General features: G+C 37.8%; 1 protein-coding gene across 8 annotated transcripts in view; it reads left to right on the top strand.

Moving 5' to 3' along the window:
• BLTP3B (bridge-like lipid transfer protein family member 3B) overlaps nucleotides 1–14,791 on the top strand; it is a 105,803-nt gene that overhangs the window by 72,275 nt on the left and 18,737 nt on the right. For 5 of the 8 annotated variants that reach the window (XM_005268739.5, NM_015054.2, XM_047428554.1 and 2 more), the window contains 3 exons: nucleotides 10,557–10,750; nucleotides 11,067–12,571; nucleotides 12,854–13,029. In XM_005268739.5, coding sequence (XP_005268796.1) covers nucleotides 10,557–10,750; nucleotides 11,067–12,571; nucleotides 12,854–13,029 — 1,875 coding nt within the window. Of the gene's footprint in view, nucleotides 1–430; nucleotides 693–10,556; nucleotides 10,751–11,066; nucleotides 12,572–12,853; nucleotides 13,030–13,338; nucleotides 13,467–14,791 lie in introns of those variants that run through there. The other 3 variants (XR_007063059.1, XM_017019049.2, NM_001006947.2) reach the window with 3 other exon arrangements.

Genomic DNA, 14,791 nt, shown 5'->3' with positions numbered 1-14,791 from the left:
GTTTTATTGCTTTATTCCTAGTTTGGGTTAAACTTCTGGCATTGGCCAGGTGCAGTGGCTCATGCCTGTAATCCCAGCACTTTAGGAGGCTGAGGCGGGTGGATCACCTGAGGTCAGGAGTTCAAGACCAGCTTAACCAATGTAGTAAAACCCCGTCTACTAAAAATGCCAAATTAGCCGTGCGTGGTGGCACCTGCCTGTAATCTGTTCGCTTGAACCTGGGAGGCAGAGGTTGTGGTGAGCTGGGATCATGCCATTGCACTCCAGCCTGGGCAACAAGAGCGAAACTCCGTCTCAAAAAAAAAAAAATTAATTAATTAAAAATAAAAAACCTTCTGGCATTTAATCCTATCTTCATGTTTCAACAATCTTTTGTGGTTTTTTGTTTTGTTTTGTTTATCTGTGTGTGTTTCTCATTTGTTTCTCTCAGCTGCCTTCCTAAGCAGATGAGAAAACTCAAGATAGATGAAGGAAGACATCTGCTCTGCATCTCATAGGGAGTAAAATGGCACAGTTGAAACTCAAGCATTGTCTTGTAAATCTAAATTCATTGTTTTTTCTCCACTGTATTACACTGCTCCCCTTTGCCCCTGTATTCACCACGGCCATTGTCTGTTATTGCATAATCATAGTATTCCAGCCATGCCCCCATAATTGTTTTTCTTAAATAAAATATATCATTGAACAAGTAATTTTTAAAAATTTTATTCTATTTTATTTTTATTTAAAAAAATTTTTTATTTCCATAGGTTATTGGGGAAAAGGTGGTGTTTTGTTACATAAGTAAGTTGTTTAGTGGTGATTTGTGAGATTTTGCTGCACCCATCACTGGAGCAGTATACACTGTACCCTATTTGTAGTCTTTTATCCCTCACCCCCTTCCCACCCTTTCCCCCTGAGTCCTCAAAGTCCATTGTATCATTCTTATGCTTTTGCATTCTCATAGCTTAGCTCCCAGTTATGAGGAAGAACATACGATGTTTAGTTTTCTGTTTCTGAGTTACTTCACTTAGAATAATAGTCTCCAGTCTCATCCAGGTTGCTGCAAATGCCATTAATTCATTCCTTTTTATGGCTGAGTAGTATTCCATCATATATATACACACATACACACATGTATGTATATACATATATATACACACGCACATATATGTATGTATATACATACACACACACAAACACCCCCACCCACCACAGTTTCTTTATCCTTTCATTGATTGCTGGGCATTTGGGTTGGTTCCACGTTTTGTAATTGCGAGTTTTGCTGCTATAAACGTGTGTGCAAGTATCTTTTTCATATAATGACTTCTTTTCCTCTGGGTGGATACCAAGTAGTGGGATTGCTGGATCAAATGGTAGTTCTACTTTTAGTGCCTTTTTTGTTTTTTGAGATGGAGTCTTACTCTGTTGCCCAGGCTGGAGTGCAGCAGCACGATCTAGGCTCACTGTAACCTCCACTTCCTGGGTTCAAGCGATTCCCCTCCCTCAGCCTCCTGAGTAGCACCACTGCATCTAGCTAATTTTTGTATTTTTACAAAATTTTAACATGTTAACCAGGCTGATCTTGAACTCCTGACCTTGTGATCTGCCCGCGTCAGCCTCCTAAAGTGCTGGGATGACAGGCGGGAGCCACCATGCTCTGCCTACTTTTAGCTCTTTAAGGAATCTCCACACTGTTTTCCATAGTGGTTGTACTAGTTTATATTCCCACCAGCGGTGTGGAAGTATTCTCTGTTCACTGCATCAATGCCAACATGTACTATTTTTTGATTATGGCCTTTCTTGAAGTGAGAATGGTGATATCGCATTGTGGTTTTGATTTGCATTTCCCTGATCATTAGTGATGTTGAGCATTTTTTTCTATGTTTGTTGGCCATTTGTATATGTTCTTTTGAGAACTGTCTACTCATTGTCTCAGCCATCAATCCCTTTTTGGTGGGATTGTTTGTTTTTTTCTTGTTGATTTGAGTTCATTGTAGCTTCTGGATATTAGTCCTTTGTCAGATGTATATAGATTGTGAAGAGTTTTTCCCACTTTGTGGGTTGTCTGTTTACTCTTCTAACTGTTCCTTTTGCTGTGCAAAGCTGTTTAATTAAGTGTCAGCAATTTATCTTTACTTTTATTACATTCCCCTTTAGGTTCTTGGTCATGAAATCCTCGTGTAAGCCAATGTGTAGAAGAGTCTTTCCAATGTTATCTTCTAGAATTTTTATAGTTTCAGGGCTTAGATTTAAGTCCTTAATCCATCTTGAGTTGATTTTTGTGTAAAGTGAGAGAAGAAGATCCAGTTTCATTCTCCCACATATGGTTAGCCAGTTATCCCAGCACCATTTGTTGAAAAGTGTGTCCTTTCCCCACTTTATGTTTTTGTTTGCCTTGTTGAAGATCAGTTAGCTGTAAGTATTTGGGTTTACTTCTGGATTCTCTATTCTGTTCCATTGGTCTGTGTGCCTATTTTTATACAGTACCATGCTGTTCTGATGAGTATGGCCTTATAGTATAGTTTGAAATCAGGTAATATGATGCCTCCAGTTTTGTTCTTTTTGCTTAGTCTTGCTTTGGCCATGCAGACTCTTTTTTGGTTCCATATGAGATTTTGAATTTTTTTTCTAGTTCTGTGAAGAATGATGGTGGTATTTTGATGGGAATTGCATTGAATTTGTAAATTGCTTTTGGCAGTATGGCCATTTTCCCAATATTGATTCCACCCATCAATGAGCATTGGGATGTGTTTCCATTCGTTTGTGTCGTCTATGACTTCTTTCAGCAGTGTTTTGTAACTAACATTAATGCAGTGTTTTGTAGTTTTCCTTGTAGAGGTCTTTTACTTCCTTGGTTAGGTATATTCCTAAGTTTTGTGTTTTTTTTTAGCTGGTCCTGGACTTTTTTTTGTTGGTAATTTTTAAATTATCATTTCAGTTTGGCTGCTTGTTATTGGTCTGTTCAGACTATCTAATTCTTCCTGATTTAAGCTAGGAGGGTTGTATTTTTCCAGGAATTCTTCCATCTCTTGTAGGTTTTCTAGTATATGCACATAAAGATGTTCATAGTTGCCTTGAATGACCTTTTGTATTTCTGTGGTGTCAGTTGTAGTATCTCCTGTTTTGTTTCTTACTGAACTTATTTGGATTTTTTCTCTTCTTGGTTAATCTTGCCAGTGGTCTATCAATTTTATTTATCTTTTCAAAGAAACAGCTTTTTGTTTAATTTGTCTTTTGTATTGTTTTTGTTTGTTTCAGTTTCATTTAGTTCTTCTCTGATATTGGTCATTGCCTTTCTTCTGCTGGGTTTGGGTTTGGTTTGTTCTTGTTTCTCTAGTTCCTTGAGGTGTGACCTTAGGTTGTCTGTTTGTGCTGTTTCAGACTTTTTGATGTAGGCATTTAGAACTATGAACTTTCCTCTCAGCACCACCTTTGCTGTGTCCCAAAGGTTTTGATAGGTTTTGTCACTATAGTTGTTCAGTTCGAAGAATTTTTTAATTTCCATCTTGATTTCATTTTTGACCCAGTGATCATTCAGGAGCAGGTTATTTAATTTCCAGGTATTTGCATGGTTTTGAAGGTTCCTTTGAAGTAGATTTCCAGTTTTATTCCATTGTCATCTGAGAGAGTGCTTGATATAATTTCAACTTTCTTAAATTTATTGAGGCTTTTTTTGTGGCCTATCATATGGTCTGTCTCTTGGAGAAAGTTCCATGCTCTGTTGAATAGAATGTATATTCTGCAGTTGTTGAATGGAATGTTCTGTAAGTATCTGTTAAGTCCATTTGTTCCAGAGTATAGTTTTTTTTTTTTTGAGATGGAGTCTTGCTCTGTCGCCTAGGCTGGAGTGCAGTGGTGTGATCTCGGCTCACTGCAAGCTCTGCCTCCTGGGTTCACGCCATTCTCCTGCTTCAGCCTCCAGAGTAGCTGGGACTACAGGTGCCTGCCACCCTGCCTGGCTAATTTTTTGTATTTTTTTTTTTTTTTTAGTAGAGACAGGGTTTCACCGTGTTAGCCAGGATGGTCTCAATCTCCTGACCTTGTGATCTGGCTGCCTTGGCCTCCCAAAGTGCTGGGATTATAGGCATGAGCTACCACGCCCGGCCGGAGTATAGTTTAAATCCATTGTTTCTTTGTTGACTTTCTGTCTTGATGACCTGTCTAGTGCTGTCAGTTGAGTATTGAAATCCCCCACTATTATTGTGTTGCTATCTATCTCATTTCTTAGGCCTATTAGTAATTGTTTTATAAATTTGGGAACTCCAGTGTTAGGTGCATGTATGTTTCGGATTGTGATAGTTTACTGTTGCACAAGGCCTTTTATCATTGTATAATGTCCCTCTTTGTCTTTTTTAACTGCTGTTCCTTTAAGGTTTGTCTGATACAAGAATAGCTACTCCTGCTTGCTTTTAATGTCCATTTGCATGAAATGTCTTTTTCCACCCCTTTACCTTAAGTTTGTGTGAGTCCTTATTTGTTAGGTGAGTCTCTTGAAGGCAGCAGATGGTTGGTGAATATTGGGGGAACCTGTCCCCAGTATTTCAATGTAGGTTCTTTCTGTTTTCCCTAAGTGTCGGCCAATCTGAGAAATAAAGAGAAAGAGTACAAAGAGAGGAATTTTACAGCTGGGCCGCCAGGGGGTGACATCACATGGTGGTAGGACCGTGATGCCCACCTGAGCCGCAAAACCAGCAGGTTTTTATTAAGGACTTCAAAAGGGGAGGGGGTGTATGAACAGGGAGTAGGTCACAAAGATGACATGCTTCAAAGGGCAAAAAGGAGAACAAAGATCACATGCTTTTGAGGCCAATAAAGATCACAAGGCAAAGGGTAAAGCAAAGATCACAAGGCAAAGGGCAAAATCAAAAACTCCTAATAAGGGTCTATGTTCAGCTGTGCATGTATTGTCTTGATAAACATCTTAAACAACAGAAAACAGGGTTCAAGATCAGATCACTGGTCTGACCTCAAATTTACTGGGGAGTGGTCTTTTCCCAACCCTCATAAGCCTGAGGGTACTGCAGGAGACCAGGGCATATTTCAGTCCTTATCTCAACCGCATAAGACAGACACTTCCAGAGAGGCCATTTATAGACCTCCCCCCAGGAATGCAATTCCTTTCCCAGGGTCTTAATTATTAATATTCCTTGCTAGGAAAAGAATTTAGCGATATCTTCACTACTTGCACGTCCGTTTATAGGCTCTCTGCAAGAAGCAAAATATGGCTCTGTTCTGCTCAACCCCGCAGGCAGTCAGACCTTATGGTTGTCTTCCCTTGTTCCCTGAAAATCGCTGTTATTCTGTTTTTTTTTTTCAAGGTGCACTGATTTCATATTGTTCAAACACACGTTTTTCAATCAATTTGTATAGTTAACGCATTCATCACAGTGGACCTGAGGTGATATACATCCTCAATTTACGAAGATAACAGGATTAAGAGATTAAAGTAAGACAGGCATAAAAAATTATAAGAATATTATTAGGGAAGTGATAAATGTCCATGAAATCTTCACAATTTATACTCCTCTGCTGTGGCTCCAGCTGGTCCCTCTGTTCAGGGTCCCTGACTTCCCACAACAGGTGAATTCTTATCTGTTTTGCAGTTCTGTATTTTCTAAGTGGAGCATTTAGGCCACTTACATTCAATGTTAGTATTGAGACGTGAGGTACCATTCCATTCATCATGCTATTCGTTGCTTGTATACCTTGTTTTTTTTTTTTAATTGTTAATTTTTTAATTTTTTTTTTAATTTTTGTTTTATAGATCTCTGAAATTTATGCTTTAAAGAGGTTCTGTTGTGTTTCCAGGATTTGTTTCAAGATTTTGAGCTCGTTTTAGCAGTTCTCGTAGTGGTGGCTTGATAGTGGTAAATTGTCTCAGCATTTGTTTTTCTGAAAAACACTGTATCTTTACTTGACATGTGAAGCTTAGTTTCACTAGATAAAGAATTCTTGGCTGATAATTGTTTTGTTTGAGGAAGCTGAAGATAGGGCTGGAATCCCTTCTAGTTTCTAGGGTTTCTGCTGAGAAACCTGCTATTAATCTGATAGATTTTCCCTTACAGGTTACCTGGTGCTTCTGTCTCACAGCTCTTAAGAGTCTTTCCTTCATCTTAACTTTAGATAACCTGATGACAATGAGCCTAGGCAATCATCTTTTTGTGATGAATTTCCCAGGTGTTCTTTGTGCTTCTTGTGTTTGGATGTCTAGGTCTGTAGCAAGGTCAGGGAAGTTTTCCTCAATTATTCCCCCAAATATGTTTTCTAAACTTTTAGATTTCTCTTCCTCCTTAGGAACACCAATTATTCTTAGGTTTGGTTGTTTAACATAATCCCAGACTTCTTGGAGGCTTTGTTCATGTTTTCTTATTCTTTTTTTCTTTGTCTTTGTCGGATTGGGTTAATTCAAAGACCTTGTCTTCGAGCTCTGAATTTGTTTCCTCTACTTGTTCAATTCTATTGCTGAGACTTTCTATAGCATTTCGCATTTCTATGAGTGTGTCTATTTATTCCTGAAGTTTTGATTGGTTTTTATTTATGCTATTTCCTTGAATATTTCTTCTTTCACTTCTTGTATCATTTTTTGGATTTCCTTACATTGGGCTTTGCCTTTTTCTGGTGCCTCCCTGATTAGCCTAATAACTAACCTCCTGAATTCTTTTTCAAGTAAATCAGGGATTTCTTCTTGGTTTGGGTCCATTGCTGGTGAGCTGTTGTGATTTGTTGGAGGTGTTAAAGAACCTTGTCTTGTCATATTACCAGAGTTGTTTTTCTGGTTCTTTCTCATTTGGGTAGGCTCTCTCAGAGGTAATGTCTAGTACTGAAGGCTGTTGTTCAGATTCTTTTGTCCCATGGCATGTTCCCTCGGAGTGGTATTCTCCCTTTTTTTCTTTTCCTTTTTTTTTTTTTTTTGAGACGGAGTTCACTCTTGTTGCCCAGGCTGGAGTGCAATGGCACAATCTAGGCTTACCGCAACCTTCGTCTCCTGGGCTCAAGTGATTCTCCCGCCTCAGCCTCCCGAGTAGTTGGGATTACAGGCACCTGCCACCACACCAGGCTAACTTTGTATTTTTAGTAGAGACAGGGTTTCTCTGTGTTGGTCAGGCTGGTCTTGAACTCCCGACCTCAGGTGATCCACCCACCTTGACCTCCCAAAGTGCTGGGATTACAGGCGTGAGCCACTGTGCCTGGCCGGTATTCTCCCTTTCTTCCTGTGGGTGTGGATTCTGAGAGCCAGGCTGTGGTGATTGTTATCTCTCTTCTGGATCTAGCCACCCAGCAAGTCTACCAGGCTCTGGGCTGGTACTGGGGGTTGTCTGCACAGAGTTCTGTGATGTGAACCATCTGTGGCTCAGCTGTGAGTACCAGCACAGTATTTGGGTTGTCTCTCAGGTCCTGCAGGAGCAATCTGCTTCTTTCAGAGGGTCTACGGGTCCTCCCAGTTTTCCTGATTTATTCCTGTAGTGATTCTGGAGCAAAAATTCACTATGTGAGCCTCCACACACTGCTACGTCCATCCGAGTCGGAGCTGCAAACTAGTCCTGCCTCCCGCCTGCCACCTTGTCCCTGAACAAGTAATTTTTCTTCAGAGTTAAGAGTAGTTTCCAGTATTTATGACTTCTAAGCTGTTTTTTTTTTTTAAATTCTTTTCTTTTTTTTTGAGACAGCCTCACTCTGTGCCTGGGCTGGAGTACTGTGGCACAATCGTGGCTCACTGCCGTCTCAAACTCCTGGACTCAAGTGACCTTCCCACCTCAGCCTCGCTAGTAGCTAGGATTATAGGCATGAGCCATCATGTCCAGCTAATTTTAAATTTTTTGTAGATACAAGATCTCACTCTGTTGCCTGGGCTAGTCTCAAACTCCTGGGCTCAAGCCATCCTCCCACTTTGGCCTCCCAAAGCGCTGGGATTACAGACATGAGACAACACTCCCAGCCATCCAGGCTTATTTATACAAGCTTTGTTAGCATGTACCAAAGGAATTATAATCTCATTCTATAATCTGTACTTTTTTTTCTGAAAAAAGTTACAAAATTCCTTCCTTGCATTTTAAACTTGACCCCTGTAGATACCTGGTAGTGGAATTGCTAGATTAAGTTTAACTGTTTTTTAATTTAATGTTTTCTTAGAGAAATTTTCAAAAATAAACAAAAGTAGAGAATATAGTATGTTGCACCCTCATGTAGATGAGTTAATTTTCATTCTTCATTATCTCTGTTTTGAACAAAACTAAATGATCCAACTTTTATAATCTCTTAACTTTCGTTTTACCATTGTGAAAGTAACGTACACATTGTATTTTAACAATAAAGAAGAAAAAGCCAAAACAATGCTTGTACGCTTGCAGTTTTAGATATCTGCTCAAACGTAAGTATATTCATTTGTTAGGGCTGCTATAACAAATACCACAGACTATGCAGCTTAAACAACAGAAATTTATTGTCTCACAGTTCTGAGGCTAGAGGTCCGAGATGAAGACTTCAGCAGGATTATTTCTTCTGAGACTGCTCTCTTTGTAGATGGTCATCTTTCCCCTTTGTTTTCACATGGTCTTCCTTCTGTGTATGTGTGTATGTCCCTCCTGTTCGGTTCTTATAAGAATATGAGTCATAATGGACTAGGGCCCACCCAGTGAACTCATTTTACCGTAATTGTCTGTTTAAAGGCTTTAGCTCCAAATACATTCTGAGCTACAGGGGGATAGAATTTCAGTAAATGAATTTTGGAGGGACACAATTCAACCCATAGCAATAAGTATAGCATTGTTAGTCTTGTTTTTAATGCATGTATTTCTTTTACATATTTAATTTGCACCCTGCTTCTTTCCCTTCGTGATATCAGAATATTCAAAGTTTCTACAAGCTGCTTTTAAGTATTATTAACTACATACTAATCTGTTTTATAAGTAGACTTCTGTTGGAAACTGCATATAGATCTTTCTTTTTTTTTTTTTTTTTTTTGAGACGGAGTCTCGCTCTGTCATCCAGGCTGGAGTGCAGTGGCGCGATCTCGGCTCACTGCAAGCTCCACCTCCCAGGTTCACACCATTCTCCTGCCTCAGCCTTCCCAGTAGCTGGGACTACAGGCGCCCGCCACCACGCCCGGCTAATTTTTTGCATTTTTAGTAGAGACGGGGTTTCACTGTGTTAGCCAGGATGGTCTCGATCTCCTGACCTCGTGATCCACCCGCCTCGGCCTCCCAAAGTGCTGGGATTACAGGCGTGAGCCACCGCGCCGGCCCTGCATATAGATCTTTCTACTGCTTAGTGTCCTGGGTTCCTTTTTCAGTCCCACATCTGCTATCGGGGTTCTTTCTGTGCTCTAGTCTTGGGCAGCATTTGCTCCCTAGTCTACTCTGTGACTACCATCATCAATCAATCTACGTTGAGATATTCCCTTTACTTCCTTTCCTTCCAGAGTGTGATGCAGTCTCTGCAGCACCCACTTTATTTCTATTCCCAAAAGGCAGGCACCTCCACTTCACAATTGCATGTCTCTGATAGACTTAAATTGTAATTTTTCTCTGTTTGTATATGTCTCATGTAATAAACTACGAACTTTTAAGGAAAAAGGACCATGCCCTATTTTTTTGTTTTCTTTGTGCTTAGGGTAAGACAATGTAGTTGACATTCAGTGAATCTTAAAGGAAAGTGAATGAATAAATAAATAACATAAGCAAATAAACCATATTCAGGACATTGTTACAGTGTTCCCTCTCCACTGGTATCTCACACCTTTGATTTATTTTTCTTAAATTTAGTCTAAATGCTCTAGATATGCATAACTTTAGCTTTTGTAGGAATAAATATGTCTGAATTTTTAGAATAAAAGATCTTCAAGGTGCTCTGAAAACAAAATGTCTTTTATGGTAGAAAAATATGTATATTTCAGGAAGTGATATACCCTCTAATTGTAAATATTAGTTTATTTTAGGAGAGCTATGAAAGAGTGAATTCATTTTATTATTCAGGAGATACTTGGTTTTTACATTACTCCAAGCACTATTATAGGCCTTGATTAAAAGTGGGGAATAAATTTATGCACGGTCCCTCCTTTCAAGGAGAACCTGCTAGCATAGCACTTTCATAAGAAATTGGTTAACTTAGCTCTCTCATTTTAGAAGATATAGATTAAGATTCAGGTTGTAAAGTCTACAGAAATATGTGATCGAGGACCACTTTGATGTGATACTTCATCAAGAAGGTAATGTTTTTAGAGGTTTGCTTCTTGGTAAATACAACCTTAGGAAAGAAATTGAAACAGTGCTTCCTGTTTTATGCAGTTAGTTTTAGATTAATTTATATATTCAAAATATTCATGTGTTTTATATATTTATATGTTATAGATATTTTGAAATATTAAAACATTTTTTCAGTTAGGCATGGGAAATTTTTTTTGTCTATCTAAATGTGTTTGTTATCATTCCAATGTATCACTTTGATTTTGTAAATAATACCTCAAATTTGTTTTATCTTAAGAAAGAATAAAACTGACTAAACATGTATTTTTTGTTCTCAGGGAAGATTTAGAACCATCCAATTAAAAATTTTTAAAAAACATCTTGTCTCCACAGTTCCATCTCCCAACCTCTATAGCCAGCTGAATGCACTACAGTTTACTGTGGATGAAAGAAGCATTCTATGGTTAAATCAATTTCTGTTGGATTTAAAACAGAGTCTTAATCAGTTCATGGCTGTGTACAAGTTGAATGACAATTCAAAATCTGACGAGCATGTTGATGTTCGAGTTGATGGCTTAATGCTAAAGGTATCATACAAACAAGTAGTAGTAATGATTTAATTTTGTTCTTTTTATTTTATGATTTGTGCGTATATGTATGTTACATTGATTATTAATTCATGTTATGTTTTTTAAAAAGATTCTCTTCTTAGTGGTCATGTAAGTCCCCTTTACTCAATTTAATAAGATTTGAGGGGAAGAGTTAGTGTTTTACGTCTTAATAGGAAAGTAGTATTTTGGGGGAAAGGTCAAGAAAAAGAATTTCTGAGCTAAGTCATGTTCTTTTATCTTCAAGATGTATGGATTTGCCAGTTGGATGAGATTAATTTTTCTTCTCTTCTAGTTTGTCATTCCTTCTGAAGTGAAATCTGAATGTCATCAAGATCAGCCACGTGCAATTTCTATTCAGAGTTCTGAAATGATTGCCACAAATACAAGGCACTGTCCAAACTGTCGACATTCTGACCTAGAAGCTTTGTTTCAAGACTTTAAAGATTGTGATTTTTTTAGTAAAACATATACCAGCTTCCCCAAATCTTGTGACAATTTTAATCTTCTACATCCAATTTTCCAGAGACATGCTCATGAACAAGATACCAAAATGCATGAAATTTATAAAGGAAATATTACTCCCCAATTGAATAAAAACACTCTTAAAACTTCTGCTGCCACGGATGTTTGGGCTGTGTACTTTTCTCAATTTTGGATAGATTATGAAGGGATGAAAAGTGGAAAAGGACGGCCAATAAGTTTTGTAGACTCATTCCCTCTTTCCATTTGGATTTGTCAACCAACAAGATATGCAGAGTCACAAAAAGAGCCGCAGACTTGTAATCAGGTATCTCTAAATACATCACAAAGTGAATCTAGTGATCTGGCTGGCCGATTGAAGCGGAAGAAGCTCTTGAAGGAGTATTATAGTACAGAGTCTGAGCCTTTGACAAATGGTGGTCAGAAGCCTTCTTCATCAGATACATTTTTCAGATTTTCCCCTTCCTCGTCAGAGGCAGATATTCATCTCCTAGTTCATGTTCATAAACATGTCAGTATGCAGATTAATCACTACCAGTATCTGCTTCTACTTTTCCTGCATGAGTCACTTATCCTGCTTTCAGAGAACTTAAGGAAAGATGTAGAAGCTGTAACTGGCAGTCCTGCTAGTCAGACATCCATTTGTATTGGAATTTTACTTAGAAGTGCAGAACTGGCTCTTTTGCTCCATCCAGTGGATCAAGCAAATACTCTTAAGTCTCCTGTTTCTGAAAGTGTGAGCCCAGTGGTACCTGATTATTTGCCTACAGAAAATGGGGATTTTTTGTCTTCAAAAAGAAAACAAATTAGTAGGGATATAAATAGAATTAGAAGTGTAACTGTTAATCATATGTCAGACAACAGATCTATGAGTGTTGACCTTAGCCATATCCCTTTAAAGGATCCTTTGCTTTTTAAATCAGCTAGTGATACAAATCTGCAAAAAGGCATTTCTTTTATGGACTATTTATCAGATAAACATTTAGGGAAAATAAGTGAAGATGAAAGTAGTGGACTTGTTTACAAAAGTGGCTCAGGAGAAATTGGATCAGAAACAAGTGACAAAAAGGATTCATTTTATACAGATTCAAGTAGTATCTTAAACTACAGAGAAGATTCGAATATACTTTCATTTGATAGTGATGGTAATCAAAACATACTTTCAAGTACTTTAACTAGTAAAGGAAATGAAACCATAGAGTCCATCTTTAAAGCTGAAGATTTGCTTCCAGAAGCAGCTTCACTCTCTGAAAACCTGGATATCAGTAAAGAAGAGACCCCCCCAGTTAGAACACTTAAATCACAGTCATCTTTAAGGTAACAACATTTTATTGGCCTTTTTAAAAATTAATTTATTTTGTGGAGCGTGTGTGCCTATGAGTGTATTTTGTTTTGAGGCAGAAAAGCTCATGACAAAATATGGCATTGTTAACATGTAGAAGAGTAGATGTTTCAAAATATGAAAACACTTTGAGCTTATACGTTTAAATATAATTTCAGCTATGGATGCTATATACATATTTTAATTCTCTTAGAAGTATTTTTTAGATAGAATTCTTTTCTCTATATGTAATAATTTTCTAATAATTTTGTTAACAGTGGAAAGCCTAAGGAACGTTGCCCACCCAACCTGGCTCCTCTCTGTGTTTCTTATAAGAATATGAAAAGAAGCTCTTCACAAATGTCATTGGATACCATTTCACTTGACAGCATGATATTGGAAGAACAGTTATTAGAAAGTGATGGAAGTGATAGCCATATGTTTTTGGAAAAAGGTAAAGTTATGATACGGCTTAAGAATTCATATTACGTACATACACCTTAGGAGAAAAGGGATGCTTTTAGTTATATTCAGTAATTGTTAACTGTACCCATGCTTTTTAAAGTTACTGAACATAACTAAAAATAACTGAATATTTCTACTTATATTTAGTAATTGTTAATTATTAATAATATTTAGTTATTTTTAGATATATTCTAATTGTTCATTATAGCCCCCCAAAAAGACTTATTTATACATACAGGGACTATGCAAGAGTACCTAACTTTCCTCTAATGGTTGTTCCATTGTTTCTTTTAACCAGATACTCCTGCCTCTCTATGGCTGAGATCCAGCAATTATATGTATGCAGTCATTTAGACCATAAAGCAGGCGACATTAAGGCTACCAGCCTCTATTACAGAGACTCCTATATTTGGAAATTTGATTAGGTGGGCTTAATTTGCATGGTGAATTCTACTGATTTACAAAATTAGGATTCTTTCACATATATGATAGTATATGGTGTAACTACATGATTTTCCCATTTTATTGAGAGACAACCAATGCCCCAGTAAAGACTGCTAGAAATGACTTAGAAGGTGTTAGTTGCATCTCCCTCATTAAGGCATTAAGGAGTTTGTAAACAGGAATTAGAAGCATGGGCCATAGTCAGAAAGTAGTTGCTGCAGACACAAAAACATAGGATACCAGAGGCAAATATGAATTACTTTCTTTTTTCTTTCTTTCTTTTTTTTTTTTCACTCTGTCGCCCAGGCTGGAGTGCAGTATTGTGATCTCAGCTTACTGAAACCTCTGCCTTCGGGTTCAAGCAGTTCTCCTGCCTCAGCCTCCCAAGTAGTTGGGATTGCAGGCATGCACCACCATGCCTGGCTAATTTTTGTATTTTTACTAGGGATGGGGTTTCGTCATGTTGGCCAGGCTGGTCTCAAACTCCTGACCTCGAATGATCCGTGCACCTCGGCGTCCCAAAATGCTGGGATTACAGGCATGAGCCACCATGCCTGGCCTGAATTACTTTCTGTTTGAAAGGAAATAAGCCCACTGATTTAGATGAAAAGCTTAGATTAGATAATTAGTAACATAATAAATATAACAAGTATATAATAAGTAATAATATAATATGTATTATTGATGTAAGTACCATAGTGGTAGCTACCATTTATTGCCAAGCAATGTCTGTTTTGTTCTATCACAGAATACCACAGACTGGGTAATTTATAAAGAACAGAAATTTATTTCTCACAGTTCTGGAGGCTGGGAAGTCCAAGATCAAACCTCATCAAATTGTAAGCGTTGCATTTTGCAGTCCTCTGGAGGTCAAGAGAAGCTACCTGAAGCCTCTTTTTTAAGGGTCTTAATCCCATTCATGTAGGGGTAAGCTCTCATGGGCTGATCATCCTTTAAAAGCCCTACCTCTTAGTACTATCACTTTGCCAACACATGAATTTCAAAGGGACGCATTCATACTGTTGCAGGTGCTTAAATAGTTTACTTCTTTTAATTTGAGTGACAACTCTGTAATAATAGAAGCTAACATTTATTGAGCATTTACTTTGTGTTGGTACCATTCTATATGCTTTGTATATATATTAATGAATTTAAACCTCACAATTCTGTCAATAGTATACTGTTATCTTCAGAGAGTGGTTAAATAACGAATCCAAAGTAACACAGCTAATTAGTGGTTTAAATTCAGACATAGAGCCTATTGTCTACTATGTACCTGATTGCCTCAACCCTGTGAGGTATAAGTG

Source organism: Homo sapiens, chromosome 12, assembly GCF_000001405.40.
Source record: "Homo sapiens chromosome 12, GRCh38.p14 Primary Assembly".
In the NCBI taxonomy this organism is placed as follows: Eukaryota; Metazoa; Chordata; class Mammalia; order Primates; family Hominidae; genus Homo; species Homo sapiens.
This window is presented reverse-complemented; position numbering and strand designations above follow the sequence as displayed.